Raw genomic sequence first — 25,050 nt, 5'->3', positions numbered from 1 at the left:
ATGAGCTAAACACAAGGAAAGAAGAGATTATGTCTGATTTTTCCTCTATTTCCTTTTAATAAATGCCACTCTTACAAGCACTTCTATTTTCCAGGGAAATGGTAGCACTAACTCTCTATATACTAACCACAGTTGCAATTATAACTCAACAAAGTAGGAACTGAAACAAAGGACAGGGAAGACATGTGAAAAGTATCAGAAGGTAAAATGGTATTTATTGCCTTTGAAACCACATACAAAGAAGAAGAGTTCATCAAATAAAATATTTTCAAGCCATCTCACACTGGTGAACCACATTTACTAAGTAATAATCTTTTTAAAATCAACGCATCATGTCCTAGGTCACAGAAAATTTCTACAGCAATCTAACAATCTAACATGGTCTCCTGGGGAAAAAAATCTGAAAAATCTAGATTCATTTAACATGATTTAACATTGGAAGTTGTCGTACTATGCTTAACACCTTTACTCCAGCTCTACAGTGTCTAAACCAAGATAGTAATTACTGGGTATCCTATATATCATTTGTTACCAAACTAATGCATAAGTGATCTGTGCTTCCATTTTCTTCTACTGAAAAACAAAAAATCATGAGTATATTGTAATATAATCTTCAAAGCATTATGGGTCTCATTAAGAGTTACTCAAGACTTATTCATTTAAAAATTATTATAAACTATAAACTTTTACTTAACAATTCATTTTACTTAACAATTTCTAAGTCACAGTATAAAAGGTAAACAAGGAAAAATACTGAGAGTAAACAAGTTATATATATACTATGTTATACATCATATGTATATATGTTATACATATACATACAGTATGTATAACATATAGTATATGTATAACATATAGTATATATAACATATAGTATATGTATAACATATACTATAATTATATAACATGTTATATATATATAATTCTATGTGACAACTAAAAACATCTTGTTCATTTAGCAATATATGTCCACAATGGAAAAAATATATATAACCTATTCTATTCTTTATCTGGAACTATAATTGTCTCTTACTCATAAATCGTCTCTTACTCATAAATCCTATCTTCAGAATAGAAATTTAATGATGAATGTAACCATTATACTAATACTAAATACATCTGTGTGTATTCACCTTAAATATAGTTCAGTTTCTTGCTTAGCAGCACCAAAAATTATTTTAACTTATGATTTCACAAAAATACTTTCAAAACAAATATAGTTTTATCAGGATGATTATATTTCTAACAGTTAGTGAGCATTTATTATGTACCAGGCAACACTGAAATGCTTTACATGTTTTAATTTATCTTCACAACCACCCAAAGGGGTAGTTACTATTATGATCTCCATTTTACACAAGAAGAAACTGAGGCACAGAAGAGTTTAAAAGCTTACCCATGGTTTTATCACTAATAAGGGACAAAGCAAATATTCACACTCAGGGAGTTAGCCTCAGTGCCCATATTTTTAATAACCATCCAATGCAAGCGAGTCATAAATCTGTATGACTCAATAGTGTTGTGTTCTCAAGACGCAGTCTGACATTTCACATGTCTATCAGCCATTCTCCTCTGGATGTCTAGATGTTACTTCATATTTAAAATATTAAAAACTCCTCTTTAAAAATGGGCTGTCATTCTAGATTTCTTTCAAAGATGACTTCCAGTTAAATAAGCAACTGTAGAAGAATAGGCACATATTACCATTAAGCACTGCCTCATTAGCAAAGAATGAACAGATATTTCTTGTGCTTTTTTGAATGGGTTATTACATTCTCTAGTTCTCATAATCTATACAAGGACTGTCAGGCAAAAACAAGCATGTGGGCAAGCAAACATGATTTTAAAAAACAAAAACAAATGAGAAAACACCCTGGAAAAAGACTAACAAGTTTGTTCTGGAGAAAATAGTCTACAGATAAAAACAATTACCTTGAATATCTAAACACTGATGTTAAAATAGGCTGAAACTATGGGAAAGTTAAGCCAATTTTCTAAATGTAAAGGGTGGCAACTTCTGCATTTAGAACAATACCTGGGCAAGATAAAGTAAACGTAATATACATCTAGGCCATTTCTAACATGATAATATTTTTACTATTTACTCTGAATTAAGTTTAGCTCAAAATTACTGTGACTCATCAGGTATAGTCTGGACTTCAAATACAGGAAGAATAGATTCTAAGAGTTTTTACACAGAAAGCCTAAAATTATTTTTTCTCACAAAATAATTCAGGAAGTTATCCACAGTCCTCTCTAGAGTAGTGATTATCAACCTTAGCTGTGCATTAGAATCACCAGGAGAGCTTTAAACACCCATTAGTAAAGCCACAGTTCTTGACCAATTAAAACAGAATATTTAATTTTTAATAGGGACCCAGGCGTCAGAGTTTTTTGAAAGCTTCCTTTGTTAATTCCAATGCAAAGCCAAGGTTGAGAACCACTGTAATAGAGTCCCTTTTTTATGCTTTTTTAGTACGTAAGACCCTTTCAAATATTGATGTCTTAGACCAAGAGGAACTACTAAAATCACTTTGCTCTAGACCCAGAGTACCTGCAGGCAATAATAGTGGAAGAGTAATAGAGGTGGTAGGAGCTGAGATAGTAAAGGCAATAAAAACCAGTTATTTTTAATGTCGTTTTCTTGTTTTGTTTTAAGGCTATGATTATAGCAAGTATGGAAATTTATTACTAATCCGTGAAACCATATTTCTTATATTTGTCATAACAAAGTCTTGATTTTTTTCCTTACATATGACTTCAAATTTACGTTCTGAAGTATAATTTAATGTTTGGTTTTCTAACTGCTTTTACAACAGCTACTTTAACTCACTTAGTGATTCACTGTGTGTTAGGAGTGCTATAAGATAGAAGCAGGGACCCAAAGTGGGTTCTTAAAGAATTTGATGGCCAAAAAAAACATAAAAGAAGGTAGACATATACACAGGTATGGGAATAGTAAAGGACCTAAGAGCCAAAATGTATGGTTTGGTGCCAATAGTTTACAGGAAACTCTTCCCCAAGTAAGCTAACTCTTTTCAAAAGGCAGTATAAATAACAAACAAAATCAGTCAGAGAAATCTGAGTTGAATATCTCAGTTCCTTACTTAGCAACTTTAAATTCATGGGCAAGATATTTAATTTCCCTGAGACTCATCCATAAAGTGGTGATAATAGCTTGGAGGAGACTGCTTCTTTCCCACTCCTGATGTTTCCTTCCATGTGGAGGTTCATGGGTGGGGCACTCTCCTAGCATAATACTCCTAGCCTCTTTGCTCTTCTGACTTATGCCTTCCAGAAGTAAGGTCAATCTCACTGGTCCATTTGGAAGGAGAAAGACATATGTTAGATTAGCCTCTTCCTCCTCCTTTTCTTTTTTGGGAGAACTGCCTCAGGCTGTTTTACATGGGTACCCTCCCAAGAAGATTCTCTTGTCTGTGCCTATAACCGTCTGTGTAAGTCTAAATAATTCCTTATTTCATTATTGGTAAGCCAATTTTTCCATGAATATAAGTCAGTCTTCAATATTGTTTTTGGTTTTATTTATTTTGTTTAAGTGCGACATTTTGCTTAAGAATTATCTTTCTCCTTCTGAATAGGTTTATTTGAAAGTGGTTTAAAACTTGAAGTGGAATACTAGTTATTAGGTTCCTAAACCTTTATATCAACATACTTTGTAGAGTTGTAATGAGCATTAAATGAGATAATACATATAAGACTCTTGGGACAGTGCCTGAAGCATAATAAGCACTCAAAATATGGTAGCTGTTTCTATCGCTACCATAACCACTACTGCTATCAGGAAAGATTCAAAAATTAGATAGAAAAGGGGGCCAATTGTAAAGCATTTATCAATTCACTATAAAACATCTAGGTAAAATTCAAATAAAACACCTTCTAACATTACATCAATAAAAACAAGACATTTCCACTCACTGAAAGAGTATAGCCTGTTATGACATTAGTTATAATACAGAATGTGGAATAATATACATTTTATTTATAAAGTCAAAACAAACATTTGCCGGGGAACATTCTTTACAGCCTACAAAATCCTCAGTAACTAATCCATACAGAAAATGAATGTAATGTGGATAAACAAAATCAGACAATACTGTAGTGCATAAAATATTAAAATTTTAACAATATTTTAGTATCAGTTTGACATTTAAAAGACTTAAGAGAAAATATGCTAGTCAGTTTATTTATAAATTTATCTGGTTCAGAAATATGCTAGAAGCACACTCAAAAAACCTAAAGACATTTCATATGATATAAAACTATATATAACAGAAAAATGATTCTTCAAAATAAGCGCAGGAAGCTCACTAATAATAGCAAGATTTATTAACATGAGATCTACAGACATTTAGGAGTTTTATGAAACCCTTGAAATTATTTGTGAAACGTCATGCGTGTGTGCATGCATGTGTGGTTAAAATCTTTCACTACATTCTAAAAACTTCACCATTCAAAAAATGTAAAGATAGTGAAGCAACGTTTTAAAATCGTAGTGGCCACTTCCAGTTCATCCGTTTATCCAGATTTTCTAGTAAGTTTTCCTGCAACATATTTTCAATTTGGATGTTAGTACATGAAAAACTTTTAAAGAATCAAATAAAAAGAATCTACAGAAAATAATCTACTTTATAAAAATGTCTGTTTACCTTTTAAGTGTTCTGTGTTTTTTTTTATTATCATGCAATGTTTTTACTGCTGTTCTCAAGTTCATTGTCTTATTTTCCTGTATTCCTTCAGTTGGTAGTTTTTCAAAAATGTCTTCAACGTGACTGCTGTTCTTCAAACCATCAGGCAGTTCCCAAAATGAAGCTGTTGTACATGTATCAAACAAAATGGTACTCTGGAAATGTTTTCCACTACCAACTTTCTTTCTCACTGTTAAATTTCTAGAATGTGATCTTTTACTAATACGAATTTTCCTTAAGAGGTTCTTACAGACATCTTTCCTCTTTGTAGATTTGTTTACACTTTTGTTTCTCAGTGTATGTAAAATTTATATTTTGTTTTTTGTAACAATTTTGATCTAACAATGGGAAAATAGGCTTACTTTGTAATTTATATTGGATTTTTAGCAGATTCAGTAGCAGTAATTGCATCAAGATGAGGTGAATCTTTAGAATAAGTTGCGAGACCAGATGCAACTAATATATCTGCCAAATTGTTTTTCTCATGAATGACATCTACTTTCAGTTTTGTTTCAGAATGATATTCCCTAAACTGAAAAACTAAGTCTGGTTTACTTAGGAAATCTCGAAAAAAGATTTTGGCTTCTTCACTCCAATGTTTTCCTTTAGCAGGTAAGATACCATATAAAATACATGGATAACTCAGCCTTGGCAAATTCAAAAGTTCCTCAGGAACAACTTTAAGATTTATAATTTCTGAATAACGTATATAAAAAGAAAATCCATAGTCAACCAACACAAGACATAAAGACTGAGGTGAGACTTCAGAAATTTCTACTCTATTCCACTGATCTTCCGATTTATATTTGAACAAACAACTAGAACCGGGAATTATGAACTCCTGAGGCAATGTTTGTAAGGTCTCTGGTAGATCAGAAAGCAACATAAAAAGGTATTTCATTATGTCAAAGAAATCTTCTAACTGAATACTGAAGTCTGATGGATCAGAAACAGCAGTTGCAATACCAGAATACTGCCTATCATTTTGGAATTGAACCCAAGTAAATGATTTTATTGTGCATGATGATACAGGAGTCTTAGATTCAATGTTGTAAACAATTTCTGCAAGTCTAAGTTTGTTTTCTTCAACAGGAACTGTATTCAAATTTAAGTATTCCAAAAGTAACAGGTCATCTACCAAAATTTCTACTTCCCAAACAGCATCTAAATATTTCAGGAAAAGAATATTTATTTCCAAATCAGCAAATAAGCACTCAAATGATATGTTCTTAGAATTTTCAAACCAAATCCATTTACAAGGTACAGCTTGTCTAGGAATGTTTCTTATTTCATTACTAAGCAGCTTGGTATTACATACAGGTACTATTTCATAGATACCACAATCTACTAAAAAAACAAGTACTTTATCATCAACATACTTTTCTTCTACTTTTGATCGATGCCATTTCAAGGTATTTTTAGATTTTGCCAAGCATTCTAAACCTTTTTCAATACTTTCCATTGATAAAAAAGGGGATTTTTTTTCTTCTTTCGTAATTAATACTATTAAATCTGATAAAATTTTTTTATTTTTGGATAACTTCACATAAAATCTTCCACTTTTTGAAACATTAAGCATTTCAGCTTTTTCAAGTTGTCCAAGTTTGAATTCTTCCAAAGGAATTTTAAACAGCTGTTGGTTTGAATTCATAGAACCTTCAGACTCATTTGATTTTCCTTTCTTCATTTCATTATCACCTGGCCTCACCTTTTGAGAGAGAACCTGAGGCATCTGCAATGCTGACTTCTGCAGTTTTGAACATGCTTTCCATTTCAGTAGTTCATTAATGACACATTTTTCATCACAAATCATATTTACTTCCCATTTCTGATCATGCTTTTTCAAAAATTCACAATAAACTGTTTTGTTATGTACTTTCGAAGTAAAATAATCCACAGTTTTGTCATCCCATATTTCATCAGGCTCATTCCATTTTACTCCACTAAGAAAAGCATGGATTCCTAGCTGAGGAACAGTTAAAAATTCCCTCTGAAGTTCGTAAATTTTAGATGTGTTTACTATTGCAGAGTTACCATAGTCAATAAATTCTACTTCAAAAGAATTTCCTGGCAAAATTTTCTTAATAACTGCCCTGTAAATGGCATTGTCACCAGAATATTCTGCAACTACAAGATCTCCCACTAGAGGTTTAACTGATTTTCTCTCTCTCAATCTCCTTGCTGTTGCATTTAGAGCATCAGCAAGTCTGATAATTACACTTTCATTCTCAGCAAGCTGAATATGGAAATTCGCTGGATTACTGATATTAGATACATACCCTTTAACTTTGGCATTCAAATAAATTTGCGGTTGAGGAAGGTCTTTGATCTGTGGCCTAATAAGGTCATATGGGTTTTGTGAGGTTGTTTGATTTAATGCTCTGATAAAAGACTGTGATACAACCTTTACTGATTTTTGGCCCACACGCCTGTTCTCAAGAATATGTGCAGCTCCAGGGACAATTTTTATACCTTTAAGCCCATCATTCAAAGAAGTCTTCATTTTGTTTTTTGACACAGGTTCCATTTTATAACAAACTGATGGCTTCAAAAACCTGGCATGTATATTTTTGGGATGCATCAATTGGTCTATTTTTCTTTCGGAATATGTTACTGGACTAGGTTTATTTATCACATTATGGCGATAGTTGTTTCCTGTTTTGCCTTTCAAAGAAGTAGTAAATCTCTTATTCTCATTTATTTTATTACTCTTTTCCATGCAGCATGCTTGGTCACAATGTCTTTTTCCATAAGCATGAAGCAACACTTTAATTTTCTCATTTATATATTGAGATCCATCATACAATTCTATACCAAGCTGTCCATCTGACTCCTGGGACAATATTATCGCCTTTAATGATCTTCCCAAGAAATTGTCTTTAAACCAACTACTGATTTCTGCTGGAATATCTACATCCCTAAGATCTGACAAAAAACACTTAATAGCTTGCATAGGTGTAAACAACAACTCTGGAAACTGAGCTGAAATGGCCCTCAACATATTTTCTCCTACTAATTGCTTATTTCCAAAGTCTACAAAATAGACTTGAAACTCAGATGATGAATCTGTTGGTATTGCTAAAGCTCTGTATGAGAGACCATCCTCTACATACTTAGATATGCACACTCTCATTTTATTAGAATCATATTTTGGAAAATTTTGGAGGTTAACACTCTCTGTGATTTTTGTTTCTATCATCTCTAGATCTTTATTATTTCTGCCAAGCTGGCAATAAAACTTTTGGGGACTATATATGTGAGATATATATACTTCTTCTTCACTTCCAATTTGTATATTAAAGGAAGAATAACAGTAACTGTAAAGACTAAATAAAGATGGGAATGTCTCTGATAATGTGATATACTGAGCAGAGCCACGATTCATAAGAAATTCTTTTGCACTAGTAAATGAGGACTGTAAATCCACTAAGTTATATAAATGGTTTGGATGTATAATAACTAAGGCATAGATGATACAAGTCAATAACCCTCTAGATGAAGAGATAAAATTCCACAAGTCTCTGAATGCTTTTCTTGTCCAACTGAATAATTTACAACTAACAGGCTCAATAAAATGGTTAAGACAACATCTGAAGGCTTGGCTTTCTAACAAGAGAAAACGTGGGTTAATTGCACAAAGATCTTCAATTAAAACCCTTTTTTGGTAACCATAATCAACAAACACTATGTCAACTTCTTTTGATACTTGAGTCAAAACAGCAGCTCTACACCACTTCCCAGAATACTTAGCAACACAAGCAGTCTGCCCAATCTCATAAGGATCAGAATGAATACTATAGTAATTCTGAATTTGCTCCATTAGTAATTTTAGGTCTTCTGACTTACATTGGAGCTGGCATGAAAAGTCACCTGGGCCATAATAACAGGAACATTTAACTTCAAGAACTGTTCCTGGTCTAAAAATATATTCTTTATAAGGCCAGGATGACTCAGGTCCCACAGACAAGGTGAAAGGATTTTTAAATTCTGAGATATTAACAGCTAGGGACTTTGGCAAAGACAAGTTATTTTCCACCAGGTTATTTGAATGGTACTTTTTAGATTTAGGTCCTTCAAGAAGGGCAGATATGACTTTTTTAATATTAACTTTGTTTTTAGATTCTGAATTTAGCATTGAATATTCACTTACAGATTTTGGAAAATATTCTAGTTCTACTTGAAAATATTCTGCATATCCAGCTTGTAACATAAGAGAGATAACATCAATATTTTCTGAGGCTTCAACACTTTGAATATTTACAGTGTACTTGTCATCTTTTTTTGCTATAACCTGAAGCAAAATTGCTTTGTTCAAAACTAATTTTTTAAAATAATCAATTGCAGCCTTAGTCCATAAATCTTCAACAGGAAATATATGTGCAAGTGAACAGCACATCGCTAAGGCAGGCAACTCACAAAATTCTGGAAGCAAAATTTTTACATCAAAAAATGGTATGGAATCAGTATTACCATAATCCAAAAAATAAACATTAATCTTATAACCATTAATTTCAGTGATGACAGCTCTGTAAAAACGTCTGTCCTTGCTATATCTAGCACAACAAAATAATCCAGGTTCAGGTTTTCTTAGAATCATTTCATCGTTTTCACACAAATCATAAAATTTGTTTATGTTTTTCATTATTTCTTGAAATTCATTCCGATGGTCATTAGTGCGTACCCAGAAATTTGATGGGTTTAATACATATGCTATAAAAGCTATGTAGGCAGCCTCTATCTCCATTTGTACTGTTTTAATGGGAAAACCTACTTTTAAAATGCCTTTTTTATTTAGAGAGTCTATTGACCATTCAATATTTCCCATAAAACTCTCAACTGCAAAGCTGTTTACATCAGACACACTTGTCTCACTCAAGATATTGGAGATTTTTGAATCAGACATCGGACAAAGTACTTGTGTGCCTACAGTCTTCAGTAGACACTTAGAATTAACTGTAGACTCTTGAGTTTGTAATGTCACATAATACAAACACTCATCCTTATTGAACCAATCAATGTGTGCATATACCACTTGTCCTAATAAGGCCTGTTTAAATATACTCAGTTGAAATATTCTTGCATCTCTATCTGGACTGTGCAAACATGTCAGAGAACATGGAAATGAAAATAATGGTACTAAAATAAAATCCTGTTTAAGTTTCTTTACATAAATTGAGGGTATAGCCTCGCTACTGCCATAATCCATAAACCAAATTTTTACTTGATTTGGGGGCAAGAGCTGCTGAAGAATTCCTCTATGCCACTGTCCATTTCGCCTTCTGGCAACACAAAGCAGTCCAAAATTATCACACGTGGGACTAGTTTCTTGACAGACGGTATCATAATGCAAAGTCATATGTGCTGTCAAGTTTTCTAGCTCTGGAGTCCATTTAATTAACTGACAATAAAATTTACTTGGGCTCAATGCAGATGATACCTTTACACTTTCAGTACTTCCTACTGACAAAGATGGCTGCAACTTATCCAGAACATGCTGAATATCAAGTGAAGTATCTTTATTACCTAATGACAATTCAGGCCTTTTATGTTGTAATAAATCTGGCATTTGTTGAGGGAATTCTTCTAACATTTCCACAATAAGACGAAATGAATCTCCATCAACAAGTCTTCCTAATTGTAACTCGAGAGCCTGAGATATAATTTTTGGCACTTCAAAAAGAAACATTTGCAGAGGTAAAATAGCTTGCACATAACCTTTCACTTGTATTCCTACTAATGACTTGAAATAATTCAAAGCTTTAGGGGACCATTTTTCCCCAACTGGTAGTATATTCGCAAAAATACCAAATACTACCCGTGGCGGTAGCTCAAATAAATTGCCACAGGCTGAAGCAATCTGTGGACCAGCAACTCTTAGTTCTTCTCCGCGATCTATGAGGAGCACTGTATAGAGTTCATTTTTCTTTTCCATGACTCTTCCTCTCTGCCATTCTCCAGATACTCTTTCTTCCACCAAACAAAATTCATCAATTTCCACATTATTTTTCACTTTTGGAGTATGTTGTATTTCTCTCTGCAATACATGGTAGTCAAACTCACATTCATTACTCTTTATGCCTTGAAATTTCACCAGAATATCCTTGGGAAGACATTTAATATGTGATATTGTCAGATCCACATCTAAAAATGTTGGTAAGAAAGATGTAGAATCCATTTTCTAAAAAGCAAATAATAATTACTCATTAGCTATCAAAGTTAACTGCAATTAGCCTTATGTTTGGCATATAAATATAAAACTAAAAATAATTATATGCCTGTATTTTATCAAATTTAAACATGTTGATAAAAATTATACATATCGAATGAGACGCTGGTGAAATAAACAAAATCTAACATTCACTGCTTTCTATACTTTTAAAATTTTTCATTGAAATAATTACAAAAACTTTTTTTAAATAGGAAGAATACCATCACTGGAAAACAGAGAGGAGCAACCTTTATTTTCCAGAAACTTTAACAAATTCCAGCTGGATATTGGACAGATGTGGTGTAATGAAAGGAGCTAAATTAGCCTCACTGGGGACCTCCTTCTCCTCCTGTGAGACAACCACTTTCCTTCATGCAAACTCTTTCCAACAACCTATAACTCAAAGAGTTGAGTGCTAGAAGGGCAGATGGTGAACCAAAAAGGGGCACACTGTTTTCACTCCCCACTCTGTGCGGAACTCGCAATATTTGGACTCTATCGGCATCATTATACAATCCCGGGATTCATCTTTGATTGAGGGAAATCAGCTGAGACCTGGACACCACTAAGGGAAGCTAAGCATAGAAAGACACTGAAGTAGGTTAGGTATATCCAGACCTTATCACTGGCATGACTGGCCACAATAAGTGGAAAAGGGAAGGAATCTATAGCATCAAGGCAAAATTTTCTACCATAGCTAATCTGTGGATTTTTAGGATTCTAAAAATAAGGCAAATATTCAAGAAATACAAATAATCCCCAATTTCAGGCAAGAACCATCATCTACTGTGACAGAATACAGCTAAACTCTTCCTTGACTCTGAGTTAACAGTTGACAGGCATTAATTTATTTCTATGAGGATGAGTAAGAGAAAAACATTGGATGCCTTCCCCCTCAAAATGAGGGAACCTCTTAAAAGAAACCAAGGAAATGCTACTCCATAGAAATAGATGTACTGAAAGAAATAGCAAAGTCCTGTTCTCAAAAAGGTCAAAAGGTGAAAACATAACAACTGATATTAGGATGAACTATACACACATGATAGATTTCAAAGTATAATGGGAAAATAAAACCTAAAATAAAAATAAATTAGAAGAAAATTTTGACTAAATACCCCAAAGCTCAGAGGAAAAAGATAAAAAGATGAAAGAGGAGTATGTAGGGACAGAATATAAAGTCTCACCAAAGTCTAAATGTTTTCATTATTTAGTCACAGGCCTTCACCCAATTCCCACACTTTACTCAGTTTATAGCCCCATTAATTCCTTACATGAAGAAACAACCAGGTACTCTCAAAGAATCCTGTACTGGATTATACCAAAACTGTCTTCCTGGCATTCACCTGAAGGGCCCTGTGATCATTCACATGGGCATATGGGAAAGAAAAAATTTACATACATCTTTCAGGAACCATGCCACCCTTTTTCATGTATAAAAAGTAGAGGTACCCAGAAGATCTCCTTCATTAAACAGAGGTGGTATATACAGTACATAGAAGACAACCAAGCCCAAAGGCACAAGGAACTTTTTAAATAGGTTACTCAAACTATCAAAAACCTACTCCTCCACGTCACTATCTCTCCCTCAAACAATACAGATGGACTCCTGGGGAATTCCACATCAGAAGGGGTAAACATCTGGTTTATACATGGCTCTCACTTAATGCCAGTAACATCCAGAAATAGACTGCTGAGGCATTACACCCCAACCCGGGTGTGGGGGTGGGAATGGGGGTAGGGTGGCAGACTAAGAAATGAAAGAAAATCTTCACAGTAGAAAGACCTACCATTACATCTACTTTGCCTAAAGAAGAAATTGCTTGAGTTAATAACCTATGCATATTAATATGCAATGGCTAATAGTTTCTGCAAGATGATTAGGAATGCTGAAGGAACAAGACTGGAAGACTTATTACAAAAACGTCTGAAGAAGAGGTATGTGAATGAGCCTCTATAAATTGGCACATAGGAAAATTTTAGGTCCCATGTGATACTCACCAGAGGGCCCCACAATGAAAAAAAATTCTTCATCAGGTAGACAACATAACCTATCCTGTGGATGTCAGTCAAACTCTTTCACCTGCCTCTACAATGCTTACTAAATAGGGTCATGAAGAAAGTTCCCAGTGTCATGGACAAAGCTCCTACCCTTGGGCATCTAAAGACCAAATGAAAATAATTCAAAGAAAATTCAGGTGTATATATACACATCTTTTTTATTATAGATATTTATATATATAAAAATATGTATATATCTTTTTATTATATCTTATATATAAAATATATTATATAAATATATAATATTTAATACATAATATATTTTATATTATATATAAAATTTAGAACTAAACTAATTGTTTATATATAAATATAATTATTTATATATATAAATTGTGTATAAATATAATTATACACAATTTATATATAAATACAATTTATATATAAAATTTAAAACTAAACTAATTATTTTACACAATGAACAAATGTATTACTTTAAAGACATAATTTAAATCAAGATGTTCTAGATCCAACCCTTATTCAAATATGATAATCCTTAGAAGACTATTATATCACAGAAAGTACTTACACTGTATACACAGGATTCAGATATCAGTACTCAATTAATTGTGTGAAATTTGGGAAACTATTTTTCCTTAGAATCAGACTCTAAATCTGTAAAATGAAAAGTTTAATTAAATTAGGATTTTTCAAACTATTTTTCTGCAGCAGAAATCTTAAAATGTAAAATGCAAAAGATTTTTTTGCAAAAATCAAAATACCTATAAAATGGATTCATTAGTGTTCTAACAATTTCATACATTTATAAAATTTTGAAGTCAGTAAATGAGACTAATAAAGTTATTCTATTAAAAACAAGCCGATAGCAGCCTTATCATATAATTTGACTTATTATGATGTTTGATAGCACAGTATCGGGAAAATCAGGCTCACAAATATGGAACAGTCTACCTGCTTCCAAAATCATACATGATCCAACACAGAGTCAAACAAAAATATGGGATAGCCACAACTTAAATAATCAATGAGTTAATCTAATGGCACTAACTAGTGCTCTTTTCTGCTTTTAAATTTAGTATATAATATTTGAATGTTTTATATAAAAATTATATTTTAAAAAATCAAATTTAAATCCAAAGTTCCCAAACACCTGAATTAAATCTAAATAAAAAATACACAGCATCACAGTTCCCCTGAGGTTTGAGGAAAATATAATCTACAAATACTATTAAAATTGATAGAGAAAACCCTTTCTATACTAAAATTCCCTGATTCTATAGAATATATATTATAGATAATGGCACTCATTGGAGTTTATCTTCTATAAATTAACATCAAACAAGTCCAGACCAGTAAAGTCCACTAGAAACACAATTGAGCCATATATATAAAGTAATCCAGTAACACCATTTAAAAGTAATTAAAGAGACAAATGAAATTAACTTTCATAATCTACTTTAACTCAATACATCCAAACTATTATCATTTCAACATGTAATCAACATAATATTATGATATTTGATTTCTTTTTAATACTAAGTCTTCAAACTATGGTGTACATTTTACACTTAGCATACATCTCAATTTGGACTAACCATATTTCAAATGCTCAATAGCTATATGTGGTTAGTGACTACAGTATTTCAATGTACAGGTCTAGAACTATGATACAATTTTAAGTTTTAAATATAAATTTTGTCAAAAATCTTAAAGCAGGTAAAATAATAGTTCCTTGTATTAATAACTCCTTATAATGCTTTAAATTTTTTAAAGGTTTTAGTACACTAGTTTAACTGATCTTCACAATAAGATCCTTCATTTTTCGGACCACAGAACTGAAGATCAACTGAAACCGAAATTGATCAAAATTGAAATCTAAAAAGAGATTTAGGTTTCTGATTAGGTTTTCTGATTATCAGTCCAGTTCACTATGTACATTATTTCATTTCCACTGCTTTACACTGTTGTTTCAACTAAAGTACATAATCATGGACAAGAGCCAAAATAAAAATGAAAGATGCAAATACAAAAGAAAAAAACCCACAAAAACAAACAAGCAAAGCACCATTCTGGGACAGAATCTGCTTAATAATTCTTCCTTTTTCAAAATTTAAGGTCATTCTGCTCAAACTTTGGCCAGTATTCTGGCAAGGTCACTATGTTCCAAAAGACTGCAAGTTGAAGCATCTGTGCTTTGGTTTTCCTCCTCCCATCTTTTCCACATATTCAGAATAGTCTCTAGATTCACCTTGTTAATGACACTGATGTGATGAAAATAAAACTGGATATACTATTTGAGTATGCATATTTCAGAATCAGGGCTTCATTTTTTTTAACATTCTTTACTGAAGTTCACAACTAGGAGCAATTTTTTCCCCAAGGGAACATCTGGGGGCATCTGGAAATACATTTAGTTGTCTTAACTGAGGTAGGAAGTGAGTGCTACCAATATCTAGTGGGTAGAAGCCAGGGATGCCGCTGAATATCCTATAATGCACAGCAGAGCACATTCTTCCACAAACAAAGAATTATTCAGCCCAATATGTCAACAGTTCTGAATCTGAGAAACTCTGCTTTAGTGAGAGCAAAAATAAATACCAGGTAGATAAAAGAACTAATTTATTAAAACTATCTAAAAGAATTAGAAGAAAATACAAGAATATTTTTCTAATCTTACTAAGGGAGACATCTTTTAGAAGACAAAACCCAGAGGTCATAAAATTTTTTTAATATATTAATTTTGTTAACTATAGGCAAAAAATGAAGCTATAAACAACATTAAAATCAATTTAATTTACTGCATGAAGGATTTTCTCAAGCCAAATATCTTCATCATCCATGACCCCACTATCATTCCACTCACAATCCACCAGGAAATTCTACTGGGTTCATCTCCAGAGCATATAAAAATCTGACACTTGCAATTCTGCTGCCACAATCCTGGCCTAAACTATCTTCCCCTGTCATCTGTAATACTACCTTCCTCACTAGTCTTTTAGCCTTAACTCCACCCCATCCCAACCTGTGAATATTCTTAGCATTGTAACCAGAGTGATCTTTTTAAAATATAAGATACAATATGCTAAGAGAGAAAAAAAAAATCAGTGGCTTCTAATTTCACTGAGTGAAAACTAAAGCCATCAAAAATGGCTTTATGAAGTCCGACAGAGCTAACCATCACCACCACCACCACCACCAAAACCTCCCGTGTTTTCTATTACCTTATTTCCTATTACACTCCCATCACTTATTACACTGAAGCTGCAATTCCTCCCTTGACATTGCGTGAATCTTTTCACCTCTGGGCTTTGGGCTTAACTGCTGTCAGAGCACAGCTTGCTTCGTCACTTCCTCCAAGTTTTGGTCAGAAGATCCCCTTCTAGGTGACGCATTCCCTGACTACTCTAATTAAAACTGTAACCTCCCACAAACTTAATAGTCCCTAGCCCCTCCCTACCCTCTCTACCAAAAGCAACAAAAAAGTTATATTAAACTAGTGGTTCTCAAACCTTTGTTCTCAGGACACATTTATAGTCCTATAAATCACTGAAGATCTCAAAGAGTTTTCATTTATGTAACTTATATCTACCAACGTTTATCATTTTAGAAATAAAAATAGAAATTTAAAATATATTTAATTCATTTAAAAATACTAAACCCACTAAAAACACAGATATTTTCATGAGAGATGGTTATATTTCTTAAAACCAAAAAATTAGTGAAAAGTGACATGGTTTTGTAATTTTTACAAATCTCTTCAATGTCTGCTTAATAGAAATTAAGCTGGATTCTCATATCTGCTTCTACATTCAATGTGTTGCAATAGGCTATTCTGGGTGAAGGATGTGAAGAAAAGCTAGCTATACACAGATACGTAGTTGGAGAAGGAAGGAGAACGTTAAAAGCTTTTTCATATAACTGAAGACGTTCTTTGATATGCACAACAACTCAATGAGTAGTAGTTTCTTCGAAGTTAGTTTACAATGTGGAATATAAAATCATAAGGGAACTTTTTGTATTATCTTAAAATCCACTGGCCTACCTATCTTGTACTTTGAAATTTTTAAATATGCATGATTTTATAAGATATCACATGGATTAATTTGAAAATATTGGTTAGATGTACAGATCTTCCATATGTCGACATATTACATTACCTAACATCCCCAAACAAAACTGATTGGTATCACCAGCAATCTCATCAGAAAAGTCATCAAATTTGGGGATACCATCAAACTCAAAATGGCAGACATAACTTTCCTGACTTTTCTAATTTTTGCTTTAAAACTTGGATTTTATCATTGACAGATACTGTCAGTTGTTTTCCTTAAAGTGAGGAGCTTGCTTCAATGTGCAAAGTACCCAAATCTGACTCAGTTTGCTACACTGGTTTGCAACTCAACTAGTTACATCAAATGCTTTTCCTAGAGTCGATCTGCACAGTTCAGTATCAACAGAAGTGATTTTATGAGTACCTCCCATTTCACCACATGGAATATTAAAAAGACATATTTTCAAGGATCATGCTTTAATATCATTCATTTTTACTGCTAGATCAAGGACATTTTAAAGTGAAACTGCCACCTTTTTTATTGCAAGTGTTTGGTAGTAAATAATACAATGACTACCAATAGTTTGGTGCCATTGCCTTGATTCACAGCGAGGTGCCAGCAGTTTTATCCACCATTGCTTTTGCACCATCAGTGTCAACATTAACACACTGAAAAAGGTAAACATTGACAAGATGCCAAGTTTATTCACGGGGAAATAATATTTTCAATAAATGGTCCTGAAAAAAAAATGGATACCCACATGCAAAAGAATGAAGTCAGACCCCGACCTCACACAATATACACAAGATGTTCTCAGACTTACGATGGTTCGACTTCAGATTTTTCAGCTTTACAAGGAATTTTGGGGGATATAACCCCATAGAAATCTAAAAGCTCCTCACAACTTAAAAAGGAGGTACAGTTTCTAGTGAATGTGTATTGCTTCCGCACTACTGTAAAATTGAAAATCCTAAGTTGAATCATGGTAAGTCAGGGACCATCTCTTTTGTTGCCAGCATTAAATGCATCTTCAGCTTACAGTATTTTCAATTTACAATGAGTTTATCAAGATTTAATCTCATTGTAAGTTGAGAAGCATCTGCACAAAAAGCAACTGAAAATGGATAAAAAACCTATGGGTAAGAACTAAAGCTGTCAATTCCTTAAAAATTTTGAAATAAATCTTCATGACTACTATGGTTTAAATGTTTGTCCCCTCCAAAACTCACATTGCAACTTAATCATTGAGATGTGGGACATTTAATAGGGGTGAATAGGTCAGGAGGGTACTGTCCTTATGAATTAATTAATCCATTCATGGGTTATCGGGTTATCAGGGAGTAGGATTGGTGGTTTTATAAGAAGAGGAAGGACTTGAACTAGCATGCTCACCCCCTGTCCACGTGATGCCCTGTACCACCTCAGGACCTGCAGAGTCCCCACTAGCAAGGTGGCTCTCACCAGAGGTGGCCCCTTGACCCTGGACTTCTCAGTCTCCATAACTGTAAGAAATAAATTCCTTTTCTTTATATATTACCCAGTTTCAGGTATTGCTATAAGGAACAGAAAACATATCAAGATGTGTTAGGCAATGGCTTCTTAAATATGGTTCCAAAAGCACAAGTAACAAAAGATAAAAAAAACAGATCAATTGGACCATCAAAGTTTAAAAAAAACTTGTACTCCAAAGGACCCATCAGAAAAGTGAAAAGTCAACCCTGAAAATGGCAGAAAATATCTGCAAATCACCTATCTGATAAGGGGCTTAATGCACAATATATGTAAAGATCCCAAACTTAACAATGGAAAGACAATGCAATCTAAAAACAGGCAATGGATTTGACTACATATTTCTTCAGAAAAGATACATAAAAGGCCAATAAGCATATAAAAAGATAGTCAACATCATTAGTCACTAGGAAAACAAACTGCAATGAAATGCCACTTCAGACACACTAGGATGACTGTATTTTAAAAACCAAACAATTACAAGCGTTAGCAAGAATGTAGACAAATTAGAACCCTCCTGCAATCTGCACCTGTAAAACGGTACAGCCATTTTCAAAAAGTTTGGTGATTCCTCAGAAAGTTAAAACAGCAATTCCATTACTAGATATAGACCAAAGAAAACTGAAAACACATCCACACAAAAATTTGGACAGGACCATTCTTAGTAGCATTATTCCTAACAACTAAAAGTGAAAACTACCCAAATTTCATCAACTGTTGAAAGAGAAACACAATGCCATAAATACAAAAATTAGTGGGGCATGGTAACGTGCACCTCTGGTCCCAGCTACTTAGGAGGCTAAGGTGGGAGGATGGCTCGACCCTGGGGAACAGAGATTGCAGTGAGCCAAGATCCTGCCACTGCACTCCAGCCTGGTAGACAGAGCAAGACTCTGTCAAAAAAAAAATAAATAACAATAACATTTTTTAAAGAAAACACTTGTTTTCCCATGGATTATATTAAGTGACAGTGATTTTTCCTTCTGATTTTTCCACTTCGAATTTCTCTATAAATGGCCATACATTTCTTCTCTGACAGTGAAGAAAAAAAAAAAAAGAAACAAAATTCTTTTCAAAATGCCATAAAGTTAGAAGAAAATTTAGAAAAACATTTGAAATATTTTAGGATAAGGTGGACAATCTTAAGAAAGATAGAAACCCAAAAACCATAAAAGGAATGAAGAACACAGTTAAGTACATATATGCTAAAATTGCTATACAGAAAAGAATACAGGCCGGGCATGGTGGCTCATGCCTGTAATCCCAGCAATTTGGGAGGCTGAGGTGGGTGGATTGCGAGGTCAGGAGATCGAGACCATCCTGGCTAACACGGTGAAACCCTGTCTCTACTAAAAATACAAAAAATTAGCCAGGCGTGGTGGCGGGCGCCTGTAGTACCAGCTACTCGGGAGGCTGAGGCAGGAGAATGGCGTGAACCCGGGAGGCAGAGTTTGCAGTGAGCTGAGATCACGCCACTGCACTCCAGCCTGGGCGACAGAGTGAGACTCCATCTCAAAAAAAAAAAAAATTATATGAATAGACAAATGACAGATTTAAAAAAAAAACCATAACATGGAATATAGATAAAAAGCATCCTTAACATAAAAATATGTTCCATATCACTAGTATGGGGGAAAGAAGAATGAAAATTCCTCTTCCATGTACTGTATTAGGAAAAACATAAATGAATGATTATATCCAGAACAAACAAATACGTGGAGAATGAAAGTTCATAGGTTCCAGGTAAGAGAATAAATTCTTATAATATTTTTGTCATGTAAACTTATAGTACCATTAATCTTGAAGTCCTCACATCTTTTGATACCAAGATTACTCTTGGTAATCTATCCTTATGAATATAAGAATACATACTGAAAGATGTTTGTTGAAACACTTACAAAATTAAAACTATAAAACACTGCTAAGAGAAATTAAAGATGATGTAAATTAATTTTAAGGTATCAATTCTCCCCAAAGTCACCTACAGAACTGACATAATCCCAATCAAAATCCTGGGATGCATTTTGGTAGAAATTCAAACGCGATTCTAAACCTTTTATGGAAATGCAAAGGAACAGAACGGTCTAAATAGGTTATAAAAAAATAAACTGAAAAAGATTAAAATTTGAGAACTTATGCTTACCTGAGTTTAAGACTAATTATAAAGTTACAGCACTCAAGACACTGTGGTACTGGTGTAGTACTGGTGTGGAAATATAATTCACTGGAACAGATCAGAATGCAGAAATAAGACCTAGATAAAGTCAATAAAAGATAAAATGATTTTCAACCAAGGTGCCAGCAATTCGACAAATGATGCTGTAACAGCTGGATAGCCATACGCTTAAAAGAGGGAAAAAAACTGACCATATGCAAAAATTTATTCTAAATGGAATATAAACCCACATATAAGAACTAAATGTATAAAACTTCTCAGAAAAAAACAGAAAATCATAGGTACCTTGACGTGGCAAAGACATCTTAAATAGGACACAAAAAATTCAAACTGCTAAAGAGGGACAAAATCAATACATCAAAGTTTATCAAAATTAAAATATTTTGCTCCTCCAAAGACACAATAAAAAGACTAAAGGCAAGCCTGAGAGAGTGAGAAAATACTTACAAAACATATAGCCTAGAACCTGTCTCTAAAATATATAAAGAACTTTTACAACTCAATAATAAAAAAAAAATCCAATTTAAAAATAGGTAAAAGATTTAGCAGCCACTTTACCAAAGAAGATTTATTGATGGAAAATTCGCATTTGAAAAAGATGCTTAATATCATTGTTATCAAGAAAATGCAAATTAAATCGCACTAAGATAATACTTCACATCCACTAGAATGGCTGAAATTAAAGGGCAACCGTACCAAACACTGGTGAGGGTATAGAATAACTGCAAAGGTCACAGACTTCAGAAAGAACTGTAAAACGATAGAAACACTTGGAGAACAGTTTGGAAGCTTCTTTAAAAGTTAAATATATACCATATGCCTTCCACATGACCCAGTCATTCCACTTCCGAGTATTTACTCAAGATAAATGAAAGTATATGTCCATACAAAAACTTGTAGGAGACTGTTCACAGCAAGTTTACTTGTAAGAGCCAAAAACAAAACAACCCAAATGTTTGTCAACACAATAAACAATGGAACAATACAATAGTCGTAACGCATAAAATGGAAACTATCCAACAATAAAAAGGAATGCTGTAACCCCAGCACTTTGGGAGGCCAAGGCAGGCGGATCACCTGAGGTCGGGAGTTCAAGATCAGCCTGACCAACACAGAGAAACCCCGTCTCTACTAAAAATACAAAATTAGCCGGACGTGGTGACGCATGCCTGTAATGCCAGCTACTCGGGAGCCTGAGGAAGGAGAATCGCTTGAACCCGGGAGGCAGAGATTGCGGCGAGACGAGGTCCCACTATTGCACTACAGCCTGGGCAACAAGAGGGAAACTCCGTCTCAAAGAAAAAAAAAAAAGAATGAAACACTGATACTCATAAAAACATGGATGATTCTCAAAGTAATTATGCTGAAACACAAAGAGGCAGAATACACATTTTATGAGTCCATTTGTATAACATCCTAGAAAATGCCATTTAATCTATAGTAACAGAAAGATCAGTGATTGACTTGGATAAGGGGAGCGCAGGTTCGAGTGGGACCAAAGGAAACCTTTGAAGGTGATGGATATGCTTACGATGTCGTTTATAGTGGTTTCATAGAGTATACATGTGTCAAATGTCAAATTGTACACTTCAAATATGTGTAGTTTGTTATATCTCAGATATACTTCACTAAAGCTGTAAGACACACAGACACACACACACACACATACACACACACATGCACAACCTGAATGTTCATTAATGGAGGAACAGAATAATTCACAGAGGACTTATTTTAATATTTGTAATTACTAATAAAAAATTTCTATTGGCTCTGATGAATAGGTCTTAAGAATCCTGTACAATTTGGGAGGAGGTCAGAGTAATATAAAAAAGGTACTAAAATGATATCTTACGTGTATACATGAATATGTGTTCATATACAAATAGAGGAAAGTGTGACGGGTATGTATCAAACAAATAAATTAGGAGATGGAACTGGAAAAAGAGTTCCAGAGGGTAAAAGGTAATTCACTTTACCCTCTGCTTTAGCTGACATGCTGTAAAGAGCTTATACTTCTTGTTAATTTCAAAAGGTTAGAAAAATTGAATGTATACCAAAGTGGTACAACAATTAAGTGACTCATCAAAAATAAATTTCTTCGGAAAAACACCTCCACACCCTAACTCTCTTTATGTCTTTTGGTCTACACTAACTCACTCTCTCTCTCACGCACACACACACACGCAACAACTCACACACAACTTGGCATTAGGATCTCTCACACTCACACACACACACACACACACCCTGGCATTCGGATCTCTTCCTAACACAACCCTAGCATTATATCTCGCACACTCACACACACCCTAGCTTAGAATCTAATTCAAACACACACCATGGCATTACAATCTCTTTCTCACACATACCCTGGCATTAGGATCGCTCTCTCTCACACACAGACGCTAGAACTAGGATTTCTCTCACACACAACCTGGCATTGGGATCTCTCCCTCACACACACATCCTAAAATTAAGATTTCTCTCACATTCACACACACCCTGACATTAGGATTTCTCTCTCACACACACACCCTGACATTAGGATTTCTCTAACACACACCCTGGCATTAGGGTCTCACACTCACACACCCTGACATTAGGGTCTCTCTCACACTCACACACCCTGACATTAGGGTCTCTCTCACACACACACCCTGACATTAGGATTTCTCTCACACTCACACACAATATTAGGATCTCTCAGTCATGCTCACACACCCTGGCATTAGGGTCTCTCTCACACACAACCTGACAGGGTCTCTCTCACACTCACACACCCTGACATTAGGGTTTCTCACATACACACACACTCTGGCATTAGGATCACTCTGTCACACACACACACACACACACACCCTGGCATTAGGATCACTCTGTCACACACACACATACCCTGGCATTAGGATCACCCTGTCACACACACACACACGCACACACACCCTGGCATTAGGATCACTCTGTCACACACACACACACGCACCCTGGCATTAGGATCACTCTGTCACACATACACACACCCTGGCATTAGGATCACTCTGTCACACACACACACCCTGACATTAGGGTTTCTCTCACACACACACACCCTGGCATTAGGATCACTCTGTCACACACACACAACCTGACATTAGGGTTTCTCTCACACACACACACCCTGGCATTAGGATCACTCTGTCACACACACACACACACACACCCTGGCATTAGGATCACTCTGTCACACACACACACCCTGACATTAGGGTTTCTCTCACACTCACACACCCTGGCATTAGGATCACTGTGTCATACACACCCTGGCATTAGGGTCTCTCTCACACTCACACACAGCCTGGCATTAGGATCAGCCATCATTGACCCCATGTGCTGGGTGCTCCCATCTCTGATAACTGCATTTTTCGAGGAAGGGCTGCTGCTCCCGGGTGGGAGGGCTGAATCTGAGCCGCCGCCGCCATTAGAGGTAGGGAGAACAGAAGCAGCTGAAGATCCCACAACAGACTTCAGATCGCAGCCCGCCCCTGGGAGGCCAAAGCCCCTGTAGGTCGGAGGAGAAAAGTGGGGAAGTACCATGGAAACCAATAGTACCTAGAGCAGGCTAACCATACATAAACGGAGCTGGGGTTTACCAAGAATCTCTGCTGCGGGTCAGGCCGCTCTTCCCAGAGCTGGAAAAATACCGCTAGGGCCCAAGATGGCGGGAGACTCGGGCCCTGTTCCCACCCCCTCGTAATCCCGCAGGGGCCCCAGGGAGCATGTGCGGGCTTGAAGGCCGAATGCGGCGGGGGAGGCCTGCAGCTGCGCAAAGCGTCCCGCCTGGCGCTGTCCCTGGCTTCCTGAGGGCGGAAGCTGTGTGCGGCCTGGTAAGGGTGGTGCCCACTGGGAGTTCTTGAAGCTGGCATTAGGCTCCAGGTGGGCAGCCTCACAGCCTTGTCTCTCAGGGCCAGGCCATGGAGAGACTCTGGACGGGCTAATGTGGTGGAGAGGATGTAGCTTGTCATATGGGTGTGACACATTGGGGTGGTATCACCCCACTTCCTGGCTGTGCAAGGGTTGGAGTTCATGCAGACAGATCTATCTTGCAACTACCAGGATAGAAACTCAGGAGTCCCCAGTGAATTAGTGAAAGAAATGTCTATTTATTGAGCACCAGTTAATCAGATATTTAAGTTATTGCATTTAATTCTATTTCTCTATTTTGGAGAATCTTGAACTGGGTCCGTGAATTAGATGGTATTAATGTATACAATGTTAATTTCCTGATCTCAGTGGGTATGTTAGGGTTATGTAGGGAAAAGTCCTTGTTTATGGGAAATAGACAAAGTAGCGGGGGTTATTGGGCATAATGCCAGCAGTTTACTTTCAAATGGGGAGGGG

General features: G+C 35.1%; 1 protein-coding gene across 4 annotated transcripts; it reads right to left on the bottom strand.

Annotated features, from left to right (window-relative positions):
- Positions 1-1,023: 1,023 nt before the first annotated feature.
- Positions 1,024-24,417, bottom strand: TDRD15 (tudor domain containing 15). 4 transcript variants are annotated; one of them, XR_939798.3, is made up of 5 exons: positions 24,303-24,381; positions 20,638-20,748; positions 13,502-13,587; positions 4,668-10,884; positions 1,024-1,679 (listed from the first exon to the last, which is right to left on the bottom strand). XR_939798.3 is itself a non-coding variant. In XM_011533212.2 (4 exons), the coding sequence occupies exon 4, from the start codon at positions 10,879-10,881 to the stop codon at positions 5,077-5,079; it is 5,805 nt and encodes a 1,934-aa protein (XP_011531514.1). In that variant the 5' UTR covers positions 10,882-10,884; positions 13,502-13,587; positions 20,638-20,748; positions 24,262-24,417; the 3' UTR covers positions 3,981-5,076. The 4 variants fall into 4 exon arrangements, 2 of the variants coding, with proteins under 2 accessions (XP_011531514.1, NP_001293066.1); XR_001738578.2 differs by lacking the exon at positions 1,024-1,679 and adding an exon at positions 3,981-4,562; XM_011533212.2 differs by lacking the exon at positions 1,024-1,679 and having other exon boundaries at positions 3,981-10,884; positions 24,262-24,417.
- Between the last annotated feature and the right edge of the window lie 633 nt (positions 24,418-25,050).

Source organism: Homo sapiens, chromosome 2, assembly GCF_000001405.40.
Source record: "Homo sapiens chromosome 2, GRCh38.p14 Primary Assembly".
NCBI classification, from domain to species: domain Eukaryota; kingdom Metazoa; phylum Chordata; class Mammalia; order Primates; family Hominidae; genus Homo; species Homo sapiens.
This window is presented reverse-complemented; position numbering and strand designations above follow the sequence as displayed.

Coding starts and splice junctions, on each gene's coding strand:
- TDRD15 (XM_011533212.2), bottom strand. CDS start 10,881: ATGGATTCTACATCTTTCTTACCAACATTTTTAGATGTGGATCTGACA.